This window comes from Homo sapiens, chromosome 11, assembly GCF_000001405.40.
Source record: "Homo sapiens chromosome 11, GRCh38.p14 Primary Assembly".
NCBI lineage: Eukaryota > Metazoa > Chordata > Mammalia > Primates > Hominidae > Homo > Homo sapiens.
Window position 1 is genome coordinate 94,820,390 of NC_000011.10, and position 26,997 is coordinate 94,847,386.

The following is a 26,997-nucleotide window of genomic DNA, read 5'->3' on the forward strand; positions in this document are numbered from 1 at the left end:
AGTCTGGCTGTGGCACCTGCCCATCACCCTAGTCTTATCTTGCACTGCTACTTGCTGGCAGTGCTTCATACTACTTGCTTGTGCCAGTGCTAATTCCTACCTCAGGCCCTGTGCGCTAGCTTAGCATCTCCAACCTTCTTGGCACCAGGGATCCGTTTTGTGGAAGACAATTTTTCCGCAGACAATCGCGGGGTTGGAGTAGTTTTAGGATGATTCAAACGCATCACATTTATTGTGCGCTTTGTTTCTATTATTATTACATTGTAATATATGATGAAATAATTATGCAACTCACCATAATGTAGAATCAGTAGGAGCCCTGAGCTTGTTTTCTTGCAACTAGATTGTCCCATCTGGGGTTGATGGGAAACAGTGACAGGTTATCAGGCATTAGATTATCATAAGGAACAAACAACCTAGATCCCCTGCATGCACAATTCACAATAGGGTTCAAGCTCCTATGAGAATCTAATGCCACTGCTGATCTGACAGAAGATAGAGCTTAGGCAGTAATGTGAACCATCGGGAATGGCTGTAAATATAGATGAAACTTTGCTCACTTACCTATTGCTGTGTGGCCCAGTCCCTAATAGGCCACAGATGTGTACTGGTCCATGGCCCAGTGGTTGGGGACCACCGTGCTAGCTGACACCTCCTACATGGAATACTCCTTTCCCCCACTTCTTCACCCGCTCTGTCCAAACCACTGGTTCTTGTCTGTCAGTGTGACTTCAGCTCAAACCACCCCTCTCAGAGACTCCTTCTCTGCTCTCTCAGTAGGAAGTAGCCATGGGGTCATTCCCTGTCACTTGGGGTCATTCCCTGTCACATCACTCCACCTTATTCTTTGGAGAGTACTTGTTACGTTTTGATACTTGGCTTTATTGTTGGGTGGCTTGCCTTTCTCTCTCCCTACCATGTAAACATCTGAGAGCAGGGACCTGGTCTGTCTTGTTCGCTGTTTCCCCAATAGCCGGAATGGTGCCAATTGAGATGGGAGCACAGTGAATACCTCCCACTGGGAAGTGCACTGATGGCCTCTGACCATGGAAGCCATCAACAGTGCCAGTATTGTTGGGGCTTCCTTCCTGCTCCCACCATTTCCCCAGGCTCTAACTGCTGCCTTCCATTGCCTTGCAGCCGCCCATGCCAACTTCCGTTCCCATCAACCATGCAGCAGCACAGCCCCATGTCCTCCCAGACCTCTTCCGCCAGCGGGCCACTGCACTCTGTCTCCCTGCCGCTTCCACTCCCGATGGCCCTGGGTGCTCCACAGCCCCCGCCTGCCGCCTCCCCCAGCCAGCAGCTTGGTCCAGATGCCTTTGCGATTGTGGAGCGAGCCCAGCAAATGGTGGAGATATTAACAGAGGAGAACCGGGTGCTTCACCAGGAACTTCAGGGTTACTACGACAATGCCGACAAGCTCCACAAGGTGCGTGACTTCCCTGGGGAATGGGAGGGAGACAAATTCTTTACCTGGTCATGGGGAGTTGATGCACTGACTGACTTGCCAACATTGCAGTAGACCCCTTTTTATACTAGGCCCTGTGCAAGGCTTTAGGGAGATGAAAATAAATATGACCCAGTTCCTGCCTTGGAGGAGCTTACATTCCAAAAAGGGGAGAGAGTTGCATATGCTACCTTCAGTAAGAGTGTGAAGGGTCTACTGTAGGAACAGCAGAGGTGGCTCTTGACCGGAGACTCAGAGGCTAAGTAGGATTACCCCACCTGGACAAATGTAGAAGAGGGAACACGGAGAGTAAATAACACGGAGGAGGCCATGCGCGGTGGTCCATGCCTATAATCCCAGCACTTTGTGAGGCTGAGGCAGGTGGATCGCTTGAGCCTGGGAGTTTGAGACCAGCCTGGGCAACATGCCAAGACCCTGTCTCTACAAAAATTAGCCAGTCATGGTGGCCCATGCCTTGCAGTCCCAGCTACTCAGGAGGATCACATGAGCTTGGGAAGCATAGGTTATAGTGAGTCAAGATCGCTCCACTGCACTCCAGCCTGAGTGACAGAGTGAGACCCTGTCTCAAAAATAAAAAATAAATAAAACCACAGAGAAATGAAGTGAGAGATACCAAATTTTCCTTTAAATTTAGGAATCTCAGACAGGAACCTTGTGTTGTCATGTTCATTTCATTAGCCGGTCTCTGCAAAAAGCAGCCTTGCCTCAACATGAGAGGGTCAAGAGTACGAGTTATTGTGTGCTTTCTGCATGTTTGTGACTTATCAGGTGGGGAGATGCTGAGTAATTCCAGCCTGTGTAGTTACTGTTGGAATATTTAAATGTATGGCAGCCATTATTCTTACAGATTTATGCTGAGAGCCAAAGTAAATAGGGGAACGTCCAGCAAGAACGAGCTGTTGCTGGGCAGTGATTTCATTATGCCCCTCAGGTCAGCATCTGATGTGCTACAGGTAGGATGCAAGGGGGTTGAGCAAAGGTAATAGGATGTTTTAGGGCAGGACAGCCATAGAGCACTTGAGTTTCCTTTCTGGGGGTGAGGAGGCATGTGTAGTAGTAGCGATCCTCTAAGAGTAAGTGCGGGCTCTTCCCTTGGCAATAAAGGGCTTCTGTAAAGTTAAAGCGTAGGAGTGTAAACCCCATCTGACTACAAGAATGTTGTCACTTTGGCTCTATGTGACAATTAATGCTCCGGCTGGCCGATTTAGTGTTAGTGTTCATGAGTTAGTGGTGATTTCACAGGTCAAGCTGGTCATTTTGCTGGCCAAGGGTTTTAGAGTAGTAGGCTCTACTTGCTTCCTGAGGGTTGTCAGGGAGCAGTGGATTTGATGGTGCATGTGTTTACAGACAATTTGTCCCAGCACGTTTGTGCAGAGCTTCCACTGAAAAGGTCTGGAGCTCCCTGGAGTCAAGACCAGACTTGGCTGAGGGAGCTCTGGCTGCCTTTATTGGAGGGGAAAAATGAGAGCCAGAAACAGACAGGGGCCGCCTAAAGATTGTGGCCTCACTCCCACCCCCTCTTGCACCCTTAGAAGTTGGGAAATAGGCATGTTGTCTCACAGCCCTCAGCCTATAAGATGCTGCACAGGCCCAAGCTTGCCTCTGTCATTTTTGGGCAGCTTCTTTTAGGTATGGTCTGAAAATTGGGAAGTGCAGACTCAGCACTTCTTGGGAAACAAGGACCTCTTTCTTCTCTCCTAATGAAGCTTCAAGGCAGACATGTCCAGAAGCTATACAGACCCACTTGAAGGCAGAGTTTGGTGCTGGGGTTTTTCCCATGGCTGTTTCTGAAGAGTTACACAAATGGTGCAGAAATTGGAGGCCTTGTTATTTTTCATTGCCTTTTTATTAACATGTACTTTTTTTTTTTTTTTAAGATGGAGTCTCACTCCATTGCCAGGTTGGAGTGCAGTGGCGCGATCTCGGCTCACTGCAATCTCCGCTTCCCAGGTTCAAGCGATTCTCCTGCCTCAGCCTCCTGAGTAGCTGAGACTACAGTTGCGCACCACCACACCTGGCTAATTTTTTTTTTTGTATTTTAGTAGAGACGGGGTTTCACCATGTTGGCCAGGATGGTTTTGATCTCCTGACCTCGTGATCCGCCCACCTCGGCCTCCCAAAGTGCTAGGATTAAACATGTACTTTTTATTGACCTATAACATACATCTCTTTCTTGATTTTGATGCACATTTCCATTTTGAAAACTAAAGTGGCTTAATCTCCCAGTGTCTCAGTATTCCTGCACAGAGGATGGTTCTTAAAAGTTGTGGCCTAAAGGATTTTGATGACCTCTGGAAGAGGAGACAAATCAAAAGCTGTGTCCCTTCTTGAACCCAAAACTTTTTCAGTCCCTTGAATGTTATAAATTGTTCTACAAGTACAGTAAGTCCTCACTTAATATCATCAATAGGTTCTTGGAAGCTACAATTTTAAGCAAAGCCAATTTTTTCCTCATCAACATCACAATGAAATGATGTTATTTGGGGGCCTGCTATGTGTCATTTTACTTAAAGTTGCAGTTTCCAAGAACCTGTCAGTGACGTTACATGAGGACTTACTGTACTACATTAATCTGTCATATGTAAAACCAGAATTATTGATTCAAAACCTCAGATTTTGATGGATACTTGCATACTCATCACAAGTTGGATAACTGTTCTCAACAACTAGGACCAAGAGACACAAGAGTTGCATGAACTTCGTGACGTAACATTTTGTGCCTTGCGTTCCTAAGGTCACCCTAGTCCCAGATCTTCCCTCATCCCCAGCCTTGCCACTCAGTGTAGCTGCCTGAGCCTTAGGTCTGGGGAGAGGGTGGTCAGATGAGGTGACAACTTTGCTTCTCAGGGATGATAGCTGCCAGTTCTCCTGGCATGGATGTGACCCCTGTTTTGCTGTACAATCTTGTAGGATATGACCCCGCTATGCCCACAGTTTCATTCCATCTGAGTTCCTCGCAGCATTGGGAATGTTTTGGCCCTTGCAGAGATGCATTGTAAGGGCAGAACTAAAAATAGATGAATTTTTAATTGCAGAATTTAGCCTATGCATACTGTGCCAGGAACACAGCAGAAGAAAACGATTAAATTCAGAGACTATAAAATCCCAGCCTAGATATGAAGATCCTGTTTCCAAAGAGGCTCAAGGTAGTGATTATCACTGTTAATGTTGGAATGATGGTCGAGGACCCCCAGAAAGAGATGATGTTTTCAGTCTTTCCTTTTGGTTATTTTTTTTGCATCTTTTTCCTCCCGGTTTCCCTGAAACTTAATTAATGATGGAGTTTCTACCAGGGCCAGACTGTGGGCTGTTGAGTGGGTTGGCCTTGAAAGCCATCAGGGAATAGACGGGCACTTGATGGGAGAGGGCCAAGTATTAACAGTTACCCCAGGCTTGCTTTAGTGAAGACCCTCTTTTGTGAGTGAAACAAAGGTGGCTTTGATTGGGCAGTCTGTGGCTTGCACAGCAGGCCTTTCTTTGGTCCTGTGGATCCCTGAGTGTTGCACGTGAAGGTGCTCAGGGGAAAAAACCAGTATCTGGAGCTTGGAATGGCTGAGATTTTCTCAGGGCCTTCTCTGTCCATTTGCTTATTACAACAGTGCCAGTGGAAGTCATGCAGGGCTTTCTGCTCTGCTTGTAGTTCTGTCTCTGGGACATTGAGTGTATTTCTGTGATTGCAGGGATTCTTACAGCCTGGCCTAAGAGCTCCCTGACACCTAGGCCGAAAAGGAGAATGAGAGCTGGGAAGGTAAACTGGGATTCCCCTCCTGCACTGTACTCAGAGTCTGAGCTGGTCTGGATAGTTTTTGTATCAAACCAGCCTGTCTAACCCTCCCTGTATCTTTAACAAATATCAGAGGGTGCTTAAGATGTTCTGAACATGGAGTAATAGAAAGAAGAAGGTGTGGTTTTACTCTGAAGCAGTGTACAGTCAGAAATAAAAAGCTTTAGTTTTAAAATTCTTAAAATGAGTCTACTTCAACTTCCCATTCCTTAGTAATCCTTGTGTCATTCTCTGAAAGGAGGTATTCATCTTTTACTTGAATGCTTCCAGAGAAGAGAAGCTCACTAATGGGTATACTACACTTCTGGAAAATGTAGTTAGGAAATGTTTCTTTATGTTAAGTCAAAATCTACATCTTGGCCAGGTGTGGTGGCTCACCCCTGTAATCCCAGCACTTTGGGAGTCCAAGGCAGGTGGATCACTTGAGATCAGGAGTTCGAGACCAGCCTGGCTAACATGGTGAAACCCCATGTCTACTAAAAAAGAAAAAATACAAAAATTACCCAGCCATGGTGATGCACCCCTGTAATTCCAGCTGCCCTGGAGGCTGAGGCATGAGAATCACTTGAATCCAGGAGGTGGAGTTTGCAGTGAGCCAAGATTGTGTCACTGCACTCCAGCCTAGGTGATGGAATGAGACTGTCAAAAAGCAAAATCAAAAAAACCCTGCATCTATTTAACTTCCTACATTTACTCATAACTCTGTCCTCTGTAATCATACTTTTTTATTCCCTTTTGTGTTGTTATAACCGAATATCTGAGACTGGGTAATTTATAAAGAGAAGTGATTTATTTAGCTCGTGATTCTGCAGGCTGGGAAGTTTAAGAAGCATGACACTGGTATCTTCTTGGCTTCCAGCGAGGGCTTTTACGCTGTGTCACAACATGGCAGAAGGTCAAAGGGGAAGTGGACATGTATAAAGAGGCAAAACGTGAAGAGCACGTCCTTCTTCATAACAACCTGCTGTCATGGGAACTAATCTATTCCTGCAAAATCCAGTCTAGTCTTACTACTGCGAGAAAGGCACCAAGCCATTCACAAGGGACCCGCCCCCATGACCCAAACACTTCCCACTAGGCCCCACCTCCCAATGTCACCACACTGGGAATCAAATTTCAACATGAGTTTTGGTGGGGACAAACCATATCCATAGCATGCACTGAAGGGGATTAGTCTTTCTCTACCATTACAGCTATCAGTTCTCATAGGAATTACCTTGTTCTGAACTAAGATCCTTGTTTTTTTTTCTAGGTCCCTTCTAAGCAGATAACCTTATGTCAGGTCTTGATTGTTTTAGGATTTGAGATAGTAAACTATATCATGGTAGGGATCCTGAAGTTTCCTTTGACAGTATGCAGAGGGAGGTTCTTTGAGTAAAAGGAAAGAATGCATGATTCAGTGTCCAAGTCTGTCTTTAGAAGTTATACATTTAAAGATTAATTAATCAGTCAGTATTTTGTCATGGGCAAGGCATAGTTCTAGGAAAGTAAGAGCTATTCTACCCTCAAGGAGTTAGTAGTCGAATCAGAGCCGCACAGTGCAGATGCAGATTAGAATTCCAATGAGGGAAATACAACAGATAAAAAATACTATAAAATCAGACCAAGAGAAGGGTCCCTGTGGGTGTAGCTAAGGAAGCCTCGCTAGTTGTCCTAGACTGGAAGCCTGAACACCACTCTCATGGTGGATGCCTCAAAGTGTGTGGTACTCTCATCTTCCCTGGTGACTTGATGATGCCCTTTGGTCTTGATGGGGACTGTTCCTGTGACATGCCCAGCTGTCTGAAAACAAAGGCCACCTTTTATAGATAAAATCAGCAAAGAAGTGTTAGTGTGTCTGGGAGCCATCTCTTTTGTGAATAAAATTTAAAGACAGGATCATAATTCATGGTAAGGCTATGAACAGGATTTAGGACATACTGTCCTCTGTGCTGCTGCATTACCAGCGGTTCATGATATCTGTGGACGAATCAGAAAGGCCTTGTTGAAATGAGGGGACCACAGAAGAACCAACTCTGGTATAAGGAGGCCTTTGGGAACATAAGGTGGTACCGAAGGGAACCTTGGTTATCTCAGCTCGGCTCCAGTTGGCTGCCGCTAAGCAGAAGCCCCCGTGCTCTCCAGCCTGTTCATCAGCCTCTTCTCAGCCATATCCTGGCTCCTCTGTAACCTCTCAGGGTGCTGACCACAGTATCTCTCATTCCTTTAAGTTTTTGGCTTCTAGGCTCCTACGGCTCCACTGGCTTCAGTTTTTCCCTGGTGCCCTGCCCCTCCTTTGGCGTGAATGCTTTTTTGGCCTTCTAATCTTCTGTTTACCTCCCTGAGTGGTCTCCGCTTTCTGATGTCATCTGTCATCTGTACGTTGAGGACACCCAGCCACTCTCCTGGCTTTTAGACTTGTATGTTCACCTGCTAACTGGAAATCTTCGCCAATATGTGCAGCAGGTTCCTCAAACATGGTATCTCCAAACCCAGACTGGTTTTCTTTCTTTAGTGAGCTTGTTTCTCTTATAATCATTTATCTTGGTTAAGTCTCCTTACCCCATCTTCTAAGCTGTGAATGTTTATGTTGTATTTGCTTTCTTTCTTCCTTACTGTCTGCACCCAGTCACCAAAACCTGTTGATTCTACTCATTAGTGTCTTTGGAATTTGCCCTTTTAGTGTCATAGTTCAGGCCCTTGTCATCTGTCATTGAGCTGTTTACATTAGCTTTTTACCTGGATATCTCTTCTACCTCCTCTCCCATAAACCCCCACCCTCCAACCCCATCTGTTAGTTTTGTCTCTATAAAAACTTGGATGAGATCAGAGTTATAATCTTCCTTCCCCAGTATCTCTCACCCCCACTAAGCCTCCCCTGCCCATAATTTAAAGTCCTTCCTTCTGGCCCTACCTCCTGCCACTTCTACCTTGCCCTCATTCCTGGACTACCATCTCTTTGTAATATTTACAGGCCAACTTAAGACTCCTAGCTCCTAAAGGCCAGGAATTGCTGTCCTTATTTCTGTATCGTTGGCATCTGGAAAAACACCTGACATGTAAGCAAACAATGAATATCTGTTCAGATATTTATTATTTATAGGAGTCTTGGCAGGACTTTCTGATCTGGGCAGTTGGGGCTCAGAAAAGAGGGTCCCTGGCTCCTGGTGCCATTGCTGTCTTATGGAAGGACTGAAAACATGGCTGTGATCTGGGACCCAGTGAAGGGCACTAGTGCTTTCAACCCCATCAGCTTTGCCTTTGATTCTGACCTTAGCAGCATCTCATCAAGCATCCATCCATGTTTGCAGGCACCCTCACCTGGTCTTTACCCTTTCTCTTGCATTTATGTTACATAACAATACAATGGGATTTATTGATATCTACATCAAAATCACACTATTATATCAAACTCCTGTTAGAATAGAGCTATTTGTTATCAATTTATATGTGCCGTAGATTAAAGGCTTCCCCAGTTAGTTTTTGATTTAGTGAAATATTTTTTTAAATGATTTTAATTTCTTGGCTATCAATTCCTGAATATAAAGAGATTGTCTGTGATATATTTGTTTATGATTAGGTACATGTCCATTAATCCTTTTTTTTTTTTTTTTGGTGAGACGGAATCTCACTCTGTTGCCCTAGGCTGGAGTGCAGTGACGTGATCTTGCTCACTGCAACCTTCGCCTCCCAGGCTCAAGCGATCCTTCCACCTCAGCCTCCCAAGTAGCTGGGGTTACAGGTACCCACCACCATGCCCAGCTAATATTTGTATTTTTAGTAGAGGCAAGGTTTCACCATGTTGGCCAGACTGCTCAAACTCCTGACCTCAGGTGATCCACCCACCTCAGCCTCCCAAAGTGCTGGGATTACAGACGTGAGCCACTGCACCATATAGATAATTTTATAGACAAAGGAATAAAAATACTAGGTAATGAAGCCGTTCCTCCAGTGGATTTTATGTTCCTTTGGGGACAGATAGAAGTGTCTCTGGAAAGTGCACTGTACTTGGAGTCTGGAAACTTGGGTTCTAATTATAGTCGTTTCTTTTTTTGTACTTTAATATTTTCCTGATGTTAACTGGGAATAATCATAATAGCTATAAATTGCCATTAAAAGTGTAAGAGGTTTAAGTTATGATTAGATTTACCCCTTTCTAATATTGGTACAGAGGGACTTTTACAAGGTGACATCAGACAGTTCGGCCAGACTTGTGAGCCTGTAATTTACAAGATCCTAATGTAGTCTTTAGAGAGCAGGTGGGGGAGTGAAATCGATTATACAGTTTGGTACACATGAAACTTGAGATGCAGAAAGACTGCATTGAAGATACAGCCTTCACACTGGCAATGTCTAAGAATCCATTTTACCAAGACACCAGCATGAATGTCAAAGGTACCACTTTAATGCCAGTTCTTTCTTTTAGTTTGAAAAAGAACTTCAGAGAATTTCGGAAGCCTATGAAAGTCTGGTCAAGTCTACCACCAAGCGAGAATCGCTGGACAAGGCCATGAGAAACAAATTGGAAGGCGAGATTAGAAGACTTCATGATTTCAACAGAGACCTCCGAGGCAGGTTTATTCATGTTCTCTCTATCTAAACTACCTGTAGAGTTTTAGTGTAGCTAAAAGCACGACTTCAAGGCCAGAGTGCTTTGCCACAGGTACTGGTCTACCTGTGTTGGATAATCTTGTGTATTTCAATGATCTGGGGAAGGGAGGAGGTGCTCAAAAAGCAGAATTGTTCTTTTCTGCCTTGTGGGTTGTATATTGCAGCATCAAGCTTTGGAAGTGACAGCCTGTATGCATGAGTCTATCAAAGGAAGGGATTCTGTTTGCGGCTCCTTCTTGCTTTGAAAGTACTCAACCACGATTCATGGCTATGAGAATCCAAATGTTTGAAAAGATTAATGTTAGACGCACAACCCTTTCCACATGGGGCTGTCATTTGGTAGCACACTTTGAAAAGCAGCACTTAACTATTGCTAGGTGGACAATAGAAGACAGAGCTAGACATATTTTCCCCCTGGGGGGAAAAAGTCCCCACAGTTGTGAAATAAGTAGACAATAAACTCGCTGAAAGATAGGAGCCACCTGCTGCTGGATTTTGGCAGTCTCCAATATGCACAATGAGTTAACCTATAAATGTTACTTCACCTTCAGCCAAGCCATTTTCAGTTGCTTCATATGTCAAAACACTCAACATCCTGGTAGTACCCAGTAGCTAGATCCCACCTTTTCTGTTGCTACAAACTCTTTTGGGTTGAGTATCATCTGCATCCAGTGAATACTTGTTGAGTTGGATTATTTATTGAATAATTAAAGATTTACCAAGTGGTTTGAGCAAACATAGAACTTGCTGTGTACAGTCTTCATACATTAGGTCATTTTGACTTTTTTTGGTATTCGTTATTTTTTTTCTTTGATTCTGAGATACAAAAAGCTGTCACTGGCTAAAATATACAGCTGATGATCAAGATTAGACTAGGGCTGGGTTTGAGGCCAAGGAGACTGTCTTTGTGAATACTTCAAATCAGGTTTGCTGGCCTTGGAGGCAGTGAGGTGGTTTTTCTCAGCACCTCTCCCTAGCTGCCTGCTGCTCGTGCATATCATTTGGCATTAGATCGCATAAAGACACAGTGTGGCATCTGAAGCCTTTTCTTTTGATATTTTGGGACATAGTTACTGTCTGTCCCCAAGTTGTTCAGTTTTGGGCTCCTGCCTGAGCATCTCTTCCTCCCCAGCTCTTGGCACATATTTCATTTCTTGGTTAGATGATGACTTCAATCCATATACATTTCTTTGTAATCATTTCCTCTTTGTTCATAGATCGACTAGAGACTGCTAACAGGCAACTATCCAGCAGGGAATACGAAGGGCATGAAGACAAAGCTGCAGAGGGGCATTATGCTTCCCAGAGTGAGTCTCCACTTATTTATTATCCCAAAGTTTGTTTGTTTAAAAACGGGGTCCTGAAGGAAGAATCATATTAGTTTCAAGTGGGTTTTGTGCTGTTTGCTTTTTGTTTGTTAATTTAGCATACAACCTATTGATCTCAGATGAGGCCCTCCTAGGTCTGCCCGAGACAAAGCTGAGGTCACTGTGTGTTGCTTTAGTAATGTTTATTCTGTCCCTCTGACCTACAGTTTCTCTCTCTCTCTCTATAATACCCTTCAAGCAATAGCAACATCATAGCATGTCCTGGCACTCACTACTTCAGATAAGTTACAACCCTTTTTCTCCAGGAAATGGAAGGCAGCCTAGTGGTGGGGTTTGGTTCTCTCTAGGGAGGTTTTGTCCTCGTATAGGTTGTGGAGTTCTAGACTGGCTGCCCCTTGCCAGTGTGCAAGCCATCTAAGTGATCGCATTATATATCTCCATGTGTAACACTCATTTCCAGAAGCCACTGAGACCATTTCAGCCAGGAATAATGAACAGTGGCTTTGTAAGCCTTGATTTATTGGGAGAATATTTTATTAATTTTAGCAGAGGCAAATGATAGAATCAAATGGATTTTGAGAAACCATTGGTCAAGGTTTGAATTTCTGCAGATTCATTGCACTAGCCAGAAATTTAAAAATCCAACTGTCTTTTTTTAAGCTGTTTTGAAAATGGAATTCATATCTATATCATAATTCTCAATAAGATTATGAGTAAGTGCTCACAAAGTTAAGACAATTCAGAACAACAAAAAGTAATGTATTCAGGCACTAGCCATCTGTCTTATGATGGGGTCTTCTGATGTGTGGGTTCCTCAGTGCAGCCCTACATTTTAAAGACTGGAAAATAATTGGTTAAATTTTCTGATTTCCAATACTGTTTGGTTAGGTTTAACCTCTTGTGTGTCCCCCAGATTGATTAATTATTGCATTCCAGCTATTAATACTAGCTATATTTTTTAAATTCCGTTTTTTGCAAATGGACACTAATACTATCTAGGGCTTTTGCCTGGGATTCCTTTGTGGTCTCAGATGATTGGCCCATGTTCCAGATTCACATAAAAGGCTATAGCGGCACTTTGAATTACTTGCTTTTGTAACAAAATTTATCTTATATCTCTTCCTGTGGGTGCAATAGATCTCACCTTGGTTTCATTTGAAAGGTGAGTTGTCTTTACTACTTGCATTTAAGATCGTGACACATTCCTTCTGGATGACCGCATGCCTAGGTATAGTTAGTGTCTTTGGCAGGTATGTTAGCAATGCCAGTGTTGTACACTCTGTGGATACTTTGCCTTCTTGTCAAGGGACATAATTTGATTACTTAGTTCAGGTCAAAATGGAAAAGCCAGTTCAGTTTCACCTGATGGGCATTGTTCTGGCCTCCCAGCCAAGGCTGGTGTGGAATAATGGAGTAATAGGGTTTAGTGCTGTGTGAACTCAGAAATGTTCTTCAGAAAGACTTTAACCTTCTGGCTCAAAGCTGAAACATCAATTATCAAGCAAAGAGGCCCTTCCAGCTTGACAAGGAATTATTTGTTCTGTGCAAATATGCTCCACTTGTGTTCTGAAGGCAAACACAAGAGACCAGAGGCATTTTTCAACTGCTTAAAGGATCTCAGTGTCGATATGTAATGTAATTGAATCTAGGCAGAGCATTTGAAGCAGGTTTGGTAATGGTGATACCTAACCAATTTTCTTACACCTAATCTTTGCAGGACACTTTGTGCCTTCACAGCTTTATAATTATTTACATTAGTTTTTCCTCTCCTAGTGTGGCCAAGGGATGGACTCAAGATGTTATTTCAAATTTATAGTTAGGTTGTTTTCTTAGTGAGTTGTAAGAATTCTTTTATTAAGTAAATTAGCATGTCCCCCACATATATATGTCACAGATATTTTCTCCAGTTGTTTTTAATCTTTGTTCTTTATCTTATAGAAGACACTTTTAAGTGACCACATTTGTGCCTTCTAGGTTTTCTGTCCTGCTTAGAAATACCTTTTACCCTCCCAGGTTATAATAATATTCACCAATGTTTTCTTCAAATTATGAGTATGATTTCATTGTTTCCAAGGCACATATTTAGGCAGCTAACTTGGGAGGCAGAGCAGAGGAGAAATTCATGAGGGACTGTCCTAGAGGCAAGGAGACTAGTTAGCAGGTATTTCAGTACAGTTTCTGGGGAGGAGACAGAGAGGTCATGAACTAAGCCAGTGGAAATAGCAAGGAAGAGTAGGGGACAGATAAACAAATGACAACTTAGTAGGACTTGGTTGACCAATTGAATAATGGCAGTGAGAAAAAGGGATGTGACTGGAGCAGCTGGATGGATGATCACCCTTTACCAATAAAATGCAGGAGGAGGAGGTTGGGATTAGATAATGACTTAAGGTTTGAACATGTTCGTCATCTCACCTTGCAACCCACAGCTCAGTGAGCAGGTATAACAATAGGTGCAAAGATACTCAGAAGGTTGGATGGTGCTCTCTGTCAGGCTTTCATTTTAGCATGTGGGTACAGAATGGCAGGCATGAATTACTGCCTCTCTTCCTAGTTATTAATGTGTTCCATTATCTGTATATTTGTTCAGAAACCCTATTGTTAGAGTAAATTTCAAACACCTAGTGATTATAATTATAAATATTGCCCACTTAAGGGAAGCCATCCTTTTCAAGTGAGTTTTTTTTGGGATTCTAGCACTTGGTTAGAAGAAAGGCAAGACTGCAATAGAAGTTATGTCTCGGGCCGGGCGCGGTGGCTCACGCCTGTAATCCCAGCACTTTGGGAGGCCGAGGCAGGTGGATCACGAGGTCAGGAGATCGAGACCATCCTGAATAACCCGGTGAAACCCTGTCTCTACTAAAAATACAAAAAATTAGCTGGGCGTGATGGTGGGCGCCTGTAGTCCCAGCTACTCGGGGTGGGGCGCTGAGGCAGAAGAATGGCGTGAACCCGGGAGGCGGGGCTTGCAGTGAGCTGAGATCGCGCCACTGCACTCCAGCCTGGGCGACAGAGCGAGACTCCGTCTCAAAAAAAAAAAGTTATGTCTTGGAGTAATACATACCAAGAAGCCCGAGTTAGGCTGTGAAGCTTCTGCCAGCCACCTTGGCAATGGGAGAGTCAGAGGGAAGGGAGAAGTAGAGAATAACATGCTCAGCTTTTTTGCTAGGTGTTCGCACGGAAACTAGCCATCCAAGTCTAAGAACACCCAAACAACTCTTGCAGTTCAAGCAGCAGGTGGGACTTGAAAGATCTCCCAGTTAATGGAGGGAGGAGCTCCTTCCTGGCCAGATTTAAACATTTCCCTCTGCTCAGGGTAGTTTTCTTCTAAAAACTGAACTCTGCTCTTAAGTTAGAGTTTTATGAAGGCCTTGGTGGACTGCCTGGGTAATTACTACTTAATTCTAAAGACTGAAGTGGACATGAAACAGGCTCATTGTACTCCCCCAAGTCATGAGATTTGTCTATACAAAAAATCTTGAAGAATTAAGTGCTTAGGAGCTTGATGCCCTTGAGGAATTTTTTTCCCCTGTCACTTCATGGTATTGTAACATTCTCTTTGGAGGAATTCAGCTTTTTGTTTGTCTGTGAATTCTCTGGTCTTGCTTGTTTGTTTTTCCAAATGTTTTTGTAGCTTATAGGATGGTGATGTCAAAGCCAAATTGCTCCTGAAAACCAGGGCCTCTAGCCAACTCCTGTTTGGTCTGGCTGTGAGAAACTCGGGCTTCTTTGTCCCTCAACTTAACTAAGGTTCTCATTTTTCCCATTTGTTTGTCACATACACACATGCATACCAGAGGCAGGTTACTGTCTGCTAAAGGCAGAACCCCTGGAAATACCTCTTACCATTCTTAGCTGTGTCTTCTCAGTCACGGAAACTTTTTAAAACTGTTTCTTTCGAAAATGGATAGCGCTGCAGAATTCCCATCAGCTCTAGGCCAGAAAGCCAAAAATAAAATATTAGATGTGAAGAAAATGAACTGGTGGAAATGAAATTTCATTTTATTGGGGTTTTTAAATAGTTATGTTGGAGCTTTGTTGTATTCTTGAATTGAGTGGGACCTGATTAGCTCTGGCATGTTTGCGTTATTTTGGGATAAACCCAAATCATGTTTAAAGGTTGCACAAGAGCCTATCTCCACCGCTTTGGGATTTGCTAGGCACTGCAGGTTCAACATATCTGGTTAAACTCAAGTTTGTGTTAAGATTCTGGCTGTTAAATGATGTGCCTCTCTAAAAACAGAAGATTTCTTGGACATTCAATGATTTGTTTAAAACAACATATTGATGAGTCATGGGTGTAAATGAGTCAGAACTATATGCATTTGATTTCCCTTAAAATTCTTGCAGGTCTAAAAATTAACAGAAAAAAATGTGTTGGACCATATTGTTTTAAAAATAATAATTTGCTGTTTTCAATGTAGCTGGCTGGCAATCATCATCTTACCCTTGAATCTTATTTTAGCTATTTTCGTTTTCTGTCTCTTATAGAACTTAAAGGAGACTAAAATCATTTCCTAAAAGAAAATGCCTCCTGGTTTTTTTATTTCTATAAGGTCTTGTGTGAACCACAGATCAGAAATTAAGATGACATAAACATTTATTCTGTTGACCCACATAGAGCATAAGGAGATTATTTTGAATCCTCATTAGGTTTCATTACATCAGATGCTATGGGTTTCTATCAAGCATCATTAGGAAGGAAGGCTAGATGTTGTCACACGTGAACACACTGATTTACCTCCTCTTATGGACCAATCAGCACTAGTGCTTGCAGCTGCTCCTGACTCTGGGCTCCTTGGGGTGAAGCTCCTGTTACAGCATTTATTCTGCATCCTGTAAGGTCATGATTTATTTGGGTGACGCTCCACTAAATGAGAGAACTATAGACGTTCTTCACCAGTATTCATCCCCCACCAAAACCCCTTGCATGTTCATGTACCTGGCATTCAATAAATGTTTATTGAGAGAATGAGTAAGAGTGGAAAATCCTGGTGACAATAGGCTTGAAATTATCCTTATGCAGTGTCAGTATCAAAATATTCTTTTAAACTTAATGTTCCAGTCATGTTGAGAGAAACCCCAGGTAATCCTCTGTTATTTCAAGATATTAGGGTAAAATTATTAAACTACTATCAGAATAAAAGCAATTTAAAAATAGCTGAATTTCTTTTTTTGCATTCTTTCTTCCTTCCTTCTTTTTTTTTTTTTTTAGAATAGAAGAATATCCAGATAATAGGAGTCTTTCATTATTAAGAACAATAGTATTTCTCAAGAAAGGTGACATTAGTATAGTCCATTTTTGACTCCTTTAACTCCTTCCCATTTACCCTGCTGTGGATATGTTGGAGGTGAGAATTGGTCTGGTAGATAAAGGTTTTGGTAACAACTGGCCAGGTGCTCACACCAACCAATCCATAGGCCATGCTGGACACTGCAGATCTACACCATGAGCAAAGGGGAAGGATTGTCCAAGAAGCCTGCCAGGGTGACATCATTTTGATCAAGAAAGTTGTCTTAACTGATTCTCCTGAAAATGACCCTTACATGTAGTAGGACTATGCAGTTCTAAAAATCAAAGTTTTGTAGGTCCAGGCTCCAGCAAATTGTCTTGGATAAGCTGCCACATCTCCTGAGTCCTGGTGTCTTACTAACAGGCTCAGAGACCTGAAGTTAGATGCTTAATCTACCTGCACCTCTATTTCCTTTAAAGTAATAGAAGAATGAATCTCCCAATTTAGCCGCCAGAGCTCTGAGGGCTAACCAGTGACAGGAAATGTGAAGCAGAGTCTATAAAATACATGTATTCTGCAACACTTCTCCCTGCCTTCTTGCATCTATTTTGGCATGCACCTTCTCCAGAAGGACCTGCCAACTTTCAGGGTGGGAGAGTGGGCCATGTTCCCAAAGAATGCCTGCGTGGTTTACTGAGCCTCACTGACTTTGGAAAGCAAAGCATGTGAGTGCTTAAGCCCACTTGATCAACCTTGATAGGCAGCACTGAGAAACTTCAGACCTACATGACAACCAGAAGTGCGCACAGCCTGCAGGGCATCTGTTTATGTTCAATCACATCTCCTCCCCAAGTGTGAAAATTAATGTTACTCAATTTAGGCTCAAATTAGGCTCTGATTTGCCATGCTTAAAGAATGGAGCTGATTGAAGAAGTGCCTATTGGTCATGTGTTGATGTCTGGCCTTTAACAACTACACATGGGTTATGATTTTCACGTTGTTGGTTTTAAAATTATTTATTTGCTTGGCTTTCCTGTTATATATAAGGCTGAAAAATCAAGCATCTTAAACTTTTGAACATTCCTTGCACTACATAGTCAGATAGATGGATGGAGTAAGCACAAACTGGAAAACATACTGAAATCCATTTGCATTTCTTCTGGCATCAGGGAACCCTTGCTTTCCCTAATAATTCAGAACCAGGAAATCCATGTTCAGGCCTAAGCTTAAATTAAATGGCAGTTGCTTAGGGAAGAGTTCCTGAGATACGGTTAAATCTTCCTTTTATATACTCCCCCAGCACTGTGTACTTTTTTCCACTGTAAACACTCATCACAACTGTAAATAAGTAATTGTTTGGATAATCCTTTTCTATCTTCCCCCACTAAACTGTACACACCATAAGGGGAGGGGCCCTGTCTGTCATCTTCACATTGGAGTCCCAACTCATTGTATGTTCAGAACCTGGCATAGTGCCTGGCACTTAGAGGCATTTAATAAATATTTGCTGGACATTGAATGAAATGATCATTATCATTTATTCAAGCAAACAGTCATATAGGCTATCTACTATCAACTCACTGTGTTTTAGGCCACAAGTCAGCAAACTCTTTCTGTTAAGGGCCAGCTGGTAAATATTTCAGGCTTTGAGAGCCACAGCTACTCAAGTCTGTCCCTGTAGCCCCAAAGCCACCATAGATGATCCATAAACAAATGGGTGTAGCCCTGTTCTAATAAAAACCTTATTTACCAAAACAGGCTGTGGGCTGGGTTTGGCCTGCAGGTCATACTTTGCTGACCTCGGTTCCAGGAACCTAGTCATGGAAAAAGAAGAAGAAAGAACCCTAACAAAAGGAGAAAATATTGAAGGAAGATGCAAAATAAAGAACTTCAAAAGTATTCCCTAGATCTTACTTTGTAAATTGCCTTAATGTATAAATCAAGATATAATTGTTATTTTCTCTCTTAATCCCACATCAGGGGAACATAATTATTATCATTTTAGAAAAACAGAAAACTGAGACATAGAAATGCAGTAAAAAATTTTAGTTTCCCAGTGAGGATTCACAATTAGCTAATGATGGAGAAAGGTCTGGGCAGGACTAGCCCTGTGGTTATCCATGATAGTTAATTGGCTGGATAGTGAAGTCTTAGGGGTGCCTCTCCCAGTGGTGCCATAAATTCTCACCATAAGGATCCTACTGTGAAATGAGGTCTGCAGATCTGGATATCAGATTTGGAGAGTACCTTAAAGGTTACAAGTGTGGTTACCAGTAATGCCTGTGTCTTCAGAACCAGAGCCCAGTAACCAGCCATCTGATGGCCGCCACAAGTGTCAGTGTCTTTGGAGGCTGTGGAGCTGCTGGTTACAAGTGTATCCTCAGGTGGAGTTGCAGGTTTGCTCCCCAGTTTCCATCCTTCAGGTCCTGCCTGGTTCAGGCCAGACCGGCTGTGGTCATTTAACAACGGTAACAGCTGCCAACACTAATTGAACACTAATTGAGCACTTACTGTGAGCCAAGCACTCTGCTAGCCCTCACAGGTACATTGTCTCTTTTACTGTTCCAAACAAACCTTTGAGGTAAGTATTGCAGGTACTTTACAGATGGAGAAATTGAGGCACAGGAAGATTAAGTAACTTGTCCATGGTCATACAGGCTGATAACTGAAGCAGACAGATTTTGAACCTAGGTCATTCGATTCTGGAGCCCAAACTTATACTGAACTGCCATGGGGAAGCCATCTCCTACGTACCAGGTGAGTGGAGAGATGTTAGAATGTGAGAGGTGGCAATGTTGAACTCCTGGTGATTTTAGAGCTCATTAGTGTAGCGTTCACATTTTACAAAGAAGAAACTGCAACCGGAGTGATCAAGTGTTTAATGGCTAAACCACAACTAGAATTAGGACCTCCTTTTTCTTATTTTTTGCTTCCCCTTTTCCAAAAGGTCAATTTTGTCGGCTCTGGGATTGACCGAGGATTTCATGTTTTTACACTGGGAAGGATCTTGGATGGTAAATGAACAAAGTTTTTATACTAGAAAATTTTTATACTAGAAGTCTTAATTGGTTGCTAATTATTTAGCCCAGCGCTGTGACTTAATACTAATGTATTCAGATCTTCTCAAGTGAGTTCCAACTACTGGAATTAACATTCTGTGCCTTTGGCTTTTACATCTATGTTTGAACTAGAGCCAATTATAATAAAAGGCCTTGTTGGATAATCCAGTGTATCCTCTTCAGATACCCCCTGCCCCAAATTTATTTTCTTGAGATCAGAATAGAGCTTAGAGTTAATGAAAGAAAGAAAGAAAGAAAGAGAAAGCTTTCTCAAAATGTCTGTGAAATCAAACTTTATTCTCTGGATGATAAAAATTAAAAAATAAGCAGAATACAACGAGTAACTCCGTGGTGTGGTTTCTTACAATTATTTTTCAAAACTATTTTTAGTTCGTGAATTATAGTGAGAGCCTACAGCTGTATCTTAATGGATTCAGAGAACTTTTGAGGGGACAAAGTGTTTGTTTTAAGTCCAGAAAATTTGGTCGTAGACCATTAAAAATAAGCTTGCATCTGTTACTAATTTTCTTTTTGCTTACAAAGACTGGTTTGGTAGAAAGAAGGGGGAAAAAAAGGAATCTATTCAAAGCAAGTTGCAAAAATGACAGTGGGAGGGGTTACAGAAGTTAAAAGAAGGGAGAGAATATAATTGTAGACAACACATTTCTTCATCCCTGATCAGTCCTAGCATAAACAACTTTTTCCGCCGGATGTAATGATTTCCCCAGCATAACTTCTGTCTTTGGGGCAAGCTTTGATTAAGCCATATCTGCCATTCAGAGGGGCCACTTAAAAAACGTATATATATATATATATATATATATATACACACACACACACACACACACACACATATATATATACATATATATGTACACACACATATAATAATGCCTTAATGCCTTAGTTAAAACAAATATAAGTATATACATGTTATATACATATTTATATACCTATATTTGTTTTATACCTATATTGATTTCAATTAAGACATTATTTACATCCAGTAAAATTTACACACTTAAATGTCCTATTTCCTGAAATGTAACAATGAGCAAAATCAAGGTACAGAACTTATATAGCTAGTATGGCTTCTCCTCACCTCTGTAAGTGAGCTGCTACTCCCCATCAGAAACTGTCTGCTTCTGTTCACATTTTAACACCTTCAGATCATTATTCTTTATATTATGGCCAGGTTTTATGGTTGTTCTCTGCACAGGAGCCAAATCGTCCAGGAGGGTCTTACTTTGTCATATCTGCAACTAGAAGTGTCAGTTTTTTATGTTAAGAAAAGAGAAGGCAAGGCCAGTCACGGTGGCTCACACCTGTAATCCCAGCACTTTGGGAGGCTGAGGCGGGCTGATTACCTGAGGTCAGGAGTTCAAGACCAGCCTGGCCAACACCTGGCCAACACCATGAAACCCCATCTCTACTAAAAATACAAAAATTAGCTGGGCGTGGTGGCACGCACCTGTAATCCCAGCTATTCTGGAGGCTGGGGCAGGAGAATCGCATGAGCCCAGAAAGCAGAGGTTGTAGTGAGCCGAGATGGCACCACTGCACTCCAGCCTGGGCCACAGAGCCAGACTCTGTCTCAAAAAAAGAAAGAAAGAAAAAAGAAGGCAAAAAAGCACTTTTCTTCAGTGGTGGTTACAAAAAGTTTAAGTCTTCAGGTTTGATTTAAAATGGAATCACTAGTATGTATATAGTCGAAACCAAGAGCCCTGTGCCTCCTATATTTATGTGGCATTATTAATTCATTATCTAGTTTATTATGCTGTCAGCAGTGATGTCGAAGTAGCAGTACATTTTTATTTCAAGTAAAACAAAATAAAGTGAAAGGTTGAACAGTACATTTGGAAGCTGAGCTGGATGAATGGGTGTCTCCTCAGTCAGGCAAGTTTGTAAAGTGCATATGTAATAAACTTGGGTGGGTAAAAAAACCTCTGAATTACCCCTAAATGTGTAAGCACAATTTCCAGAAGTAAAGTGCAATGTGAGGAATAACTAGATCAGAGAAAATTGTATTTAAGAGAACTTCTACAGGTAGAGAGTCAAATAAATATTTTACCAAATCCTACCTGAGATATTTTACTTTTGGTGCTTTAAACTCACTGCGGGTTCTGGATAAGAGCAATAGATAAATTATATAAAATAACAAAAATATTATAACTATGTTAAGACAAAAATGTGTTGTTTTCCTATATTAGACCAATAGAAGATTTTGTGGTTAGGCTTTGTTACTTTTCAGTAACAAGTATTTGAAAACTGTTTTAAAGACTCAGTTAGAATTTGATTATATACCAATAGCATCCTCTTATTCAATAAGCTGTTGCCTAAACTTAATTTCTTCACATATAAGACACGTCGGTTATCTTAGATCTTTAGAGTCCTACGAAGATAGAAGGGTTTCGACGCACCGTGAAGAGAGCTTAGTCACTATGAAGAGGTCCAGTAGGAAAAATGAGACAGACACACATCAGCCACTGGACCTAGAGTGCAAGGCAGAATGTGGCAAGGACCTGTTAGAGAACCACACTCAAAAGAACCCCCACCTCAAAAAAAAAGTGGGTTGGGGGAGAAGCCTATAGCCTTTAGGGTGGGCCTTGAAAAGTCATTAACAGTTTAGAAGAATTTTGCTGCACAGCACTGTGTCAACAGGGACATTCCTATTCTTTTACATTTAGGCAACAGAGTTTGAATAAATGCATTGCACTTTAGGCTTTACCTCATTTTCCCATATTATCCATCTCTCCAGAAGATTTCTTCCCCACATTTTAACAGCAGCCATTTCCACAAATCTTTGTCTCTTTTGTAATGACTAAACTAGTAGCTTTCAAACTCAGAACTCTTGTTCAGATAGTGTGGAAGCATAATATGTAAAATGAAGGACAGCTGAAGAAATTTCTGGCTGAGATGGGTTCATCTTCAGAACTCCTCTCCTTCCCACTTGGCCCCAATGTCCCTTCTCTCCCTTCCCTCCCTTCCCTGTCCCTCTCCCAGGGTTCTGCAGAACAGTTTGGTTTGAATTCCCCTTCTTAATTTTCCTTATTACATAACTCATTTAAAAACACTCCACTCTCTCTGCCATTTAAAACCAGCCCTCGCTGGAGTGTTCCTGTTTGTGAATAGACCCACCTTAACCACCCACTTGCAGCCTATGTATCCAGCTGCCTGGCAGAACCCTGGTAATCTGCACCAGAGCTCAGGGACAGCAGAAAGCTGAAGACCCTTTCCCCAAATAACAAGCCTCCTTACCCAAGAAACCATCAGCAAATTTTAAAAAGACAACAAAAAATCAAACCAGCATCTTCTAAGGTCAGCGTTGTATCATATTGCTTTTCTGTTTGTGAATTAATGTGTGGCTTTAAAAAGTAGATCGTGTTTCATGTTGTTTTGCATCAAATAAGCCTCATGTGAATAGATCACTCGTATGTGTTGTAACCAGTGCTCTTTTTGGATTCTATTTTTTTTGAGTCTCTTTCTAGGTTCATCATTTTGACTCAAACTGGGGTGAGGATGTGGGGGCAGATGTTAAGAAGGGGCCCCTGAGTGTGGAATATCTTTGAGGCAGAAGGAACCTAAATAGTTTTGTAGACAGTAAAGTAAATGAAATATCTTCCTATTGTCTTTCCACTCCCACAACCTCAGAAAAAAAGAAATTACCTTTGGTATCAACAAGGACTTTCTAATAAATCTGACCCTTCAATTACCCTATAAATTGTAGCTGTCCCTTGGAATAGAATCCTCTCCAACATCTGTTCAGTATTATCAGATATGGTGCCAGGTATCTTGGAACTGAGGGATCACTGAGGAAGAAGAAATGGAGGAGAAACATTAGGGAGGGATAATGTGGCAGATAATTATTTGGACATCTTTTCATAAGAGGAGTTCATTTCAGCAGCATTGTGGAGAAGTTTATAGTTAACAGAATTGATGCCATTGGTGTTGATCAGCACTGGACTAGCTGGGCAGATAGCATGAAAGTTGTCTATTTCATAGAGCATTCCAGGTTAGGAAGCATTGGCCTCTTCACGCGGAGGTTCATTCTCTGAGTGAACCTCCAGTGCTGGACTTGGGGCTCTGGCACGGTACATAGAGGGCCTGGACACTGTTGTACATGGCTCCCATCAGTCTCCCTACTCGGCCTCTCCTTTGTCTATGGCCTCTTCTCTGGTAATGCCCTTTAAGCTATCTTCACTCAGAGAGTCCCAGAGACTGTCCTCTAAAATCAGTTATTAGCATTTCTGAGGTTCATTGTTGTGTCTGCCTCCTCCTCCTTTAACTCTGCCACCACCACCCCCTCTTCCCACATCCAAGAACCTTCCTTGAGAAGTGCCAGAGAGATACCTGACTCTCCAGAAGCAGGTGCCAAAATGGGCTAGTTATGTGTCACTATGGGAGCATTTGGAATTTGGAGCTTGAACAGAATTAGCTTGGCCTATTTTTATGCCTTCATACCTCTCTCTCTCTCCCTTCCTTTCTTCTTTCTCTCTCTCTGAGAGACCTAAACCCCCCAAATCCAGTTGGTTAAGGATCAAACCTTGATTCCAGCTGAAAAAGGAAAAGAATACTGTCTTAGTTCATTTTCTGCTGCTGTAACAGAATACCACAGACTAGGTAATTTACAAACAATAGAAGTTTATTTGGTTCATAGTTCGGGAGGCTGGGAAGTCCAAGAGCATGGTGCTGGCACCTAGTGAGGGCCTTGTGCTCTGTTATTGCATGGCCAAAGGGCAGAAGGCAGAAGTGATCCCATGAGACAGAATCAAGCAGAACTCATTTTTTAAATCAGTAGCCTATTCCCACAATAACCAACCTACTCCTACAGTAACAGCATTAATTCATTCATGAGGGCTGAACCCTCATGGCCTAATCACCTCTTAAAGGCCCCACCTCTTAATACTGTTACAATGAGGATTAAGTTTCTAACACATGAAATTTGGGGAACCATATTCAAACCATAGCAAACACCTATGTTTTACCTACCAAGCACTCCAGTGACTTAGACACTACTTGATCAAGCAGGCAGTAGCTGGACTCCTCTATCTCTCCAGCTACATGGGGTAGGGAAAAACTTCTCAAAAATCCGTTATATCAGAAAGCCCTAGAAATTAATTCCTATGTAGGAAGTGCTGGCTTACAGGTTTGCTGTCCTCAGAAGCCCCAGCCATAAGTGGGAGCACTGAATATGAAGCTGTAGCACAGCACATAGAGCCCTGACCTTATACACACATCCACCCTCAATGTTTCTTAACTGAAGTGGCTAAGATGGTAGAACAGGGTCGTCTGTCCCATGGATCAGCTGGCAGTTAGGCTTAGTGCTCAGATAGTAATCACAGAAACAGTTTCAGCAGGGTGTCCACTTGGAACCTTACCCAGAACTGACAAAGGAGAAGGGTAAGACAGAAAGGGGACATCTTTGAATTATTAGGCCTATTTCTACTTTCTACCACTTGTGTTCTTTCCTCAAGCAAGGGAGACTAACGTACGGGTGGAGACACAAATGGGACCACCATTCGACATTGTACAAGTGTCATAGCTTGTTTTGCTTCAGTTTTCTATTCGTCAAATGGGGCTTATGTGAGGATTATATGTTGTAAAGCTCTTGGAACAGTAGCTGGGACATGGTAAGTCCCCAGGAATATATGTTAGCTCTTGTTGTTATTTATCAAGTATAGTACTATGTGCCAAGTCCTGTGGTAGGCATTTTATGGGTACTTATTTTAATCCTCACCCGCAGTTCTGCAAAATAGATCTTGTGAGCTTCATTTGAGGAGATGGAGTCTCAGAGAGGTAAAGTCATGTGTCCAAGGTGAGCTGCTATGTGAAGGTGCCAAAGTCAAACCAGGTCGGCCTGGCCACACAGCCTGTGCCATCACTGTGGTTTCAAGAGTAAACAGTGTATGAGCAGACATCCTTCTATGTAAATGGGACCAGAGCCATCAAGCTAAACAGCTCCCTGCGCCACACAGTTCAGGGTAGTTCATATCCACTGAGTAAACAGACCATTCTGGGCAAGAATTCCCTTGTGTCAACTTGCCTGTTCTAGGAATTCTCAGTATATATATTGGAGCCCTACCAAAAATTCATCACGAGACTTGTCTTTCTTGAGATCCATCCTAAGAGGCTTAGCTAATAAACTGAAGGGCCTTCTTATGAGGTGGTTTCACCATGGGACTCTCCCTTGTTATCTCCCGAAGGATGACTTCTTTGAGTGAGTCTGATACACTTCATGGTCCCCATGTCTCCAAGAGTTGGGGAGCATAGCTAGCCCACCTTGTAGGCTCACTGCCTTGATACCCCATCTTCCTCACTCCCTGCCCTGAATTAGCTGTCCTTCCTGTGTTCTCATAGCACCCTGTGCATGCATCTGTTAGAGCACCTTGTCACATTGCCTTTGCCCATGTCCTTACGTCTTTTCCCACCAGATCAAGTGCAGAATGCTACATCCTACTCACCTCATAGCCCTAGAATTTATCATGCTTCCTGTAACAACAATAATAACCAGTGTTATCGAAGTTGACATTCATCGGGAACTTACTATATGCCTTTTGAAATAGGTACTATTGTGATGCTTACTTTTAAAGGCAGAGAAGCTGAAGCACAGAGAGGTTTGTTTACTACCTCAGTCACAGAACCATAAGTGGAAGAGCTGGGTGTGAACCCAGGCAGTACTCTGATGCCTCTGAGTAGTAGATGCTTCATTAGTTAATATTTGTAAATGGATACACATGTGAATGTAATTGCTATGTTTTCAGAGATATATGACCTGTGACATAACTTAAATCTGTGCAATAGTAAACTGTGTTATAATGGGGCTCTTCTATCCCTATGTGTGCTTGGAGAGGAGGGGCAGTACAGGGCTGTGTTTGGGAACACACATTAGATATAAATGCAACTTCTATTTCTGCCATTGATGATCATCACCTCTGTGGGCAAGTTACTTACCCTTTTTTTTAGTGGCATTTTCCTCAGCTGGAAAATAAGAATTATGGTGCCTACCTCATACAGTAAACTTAGAATAAAGAGACTACTATAAGTAACCATTCCTGGAACACAATACTTATTCAACAAACATGGGAAGATATTGTTACTACTATTATCATGAGCATTGTTTTTAAAACTTTATAATTGACAACACTACTTCCTATCAGTGGACAAGCAGTTCTGAACCAGTGTGAGTGATACTAAATGGTACTGCTGGAGCTTGAAGTCTAAAGTCACTAAATTCAGGACAGAGATGTTTGACCCATGTATTTCAGAGGTCTACAAAACACCCCAGAAACGAATGTAGCTTTTGTCCAGTCTCCACATCTTTGTCTGTAGTGTACACTGTGGGGTTTAGGGAGCCTGGGCAGAGGAAGGAACCAGAGGTATCCATGGTCAGTACCAGCCATCTGATGTGTCGCGGCTTGTAAGCGAGCAGTGGGTTTGAAGGTCGAGTGGACAGCTGCATAACAAAGGCTGTTAGGAGGTCATGAGGATACTGAATACCTAATAGCTAACAGGAGCTATAATTTCTTGTTCA

At 42.3% G+C, this 26,997-nt stretch overlaps 1 protein-coding gene across 11 annotated transcripts in view; it reads left to right on the forward strand.

Moving 5' to 3' along the window:
• The window catches only part of AMOTL1 (angiomotin like 1), a 170,289-nt gene that overhangs the window by 113,930 nt on the left and 29,362 nt on the right, over positions 1-26,997 (forward strand). For all 11 annotated transcript variants that reach the window (XM_005273798.5, XM_011542626.3, XM_006718772.4 and 8 more), the window contains 3 exons: positions 1,141-1,432; positions 9,661-9,805; positions 11,063-11,152. In XM_005273798.5, coding sequence (XP_005273855.1) covers positions 1,141-1,432; positions 9,661-9,805; positions 11,063-11,152 — 527 coding nt within the window. The remainder of the gene's footprint in view (positions 1-1,140; positions 1,433-9,660; positions 9,806-11,062; positions 11,153-26,997) is intronic.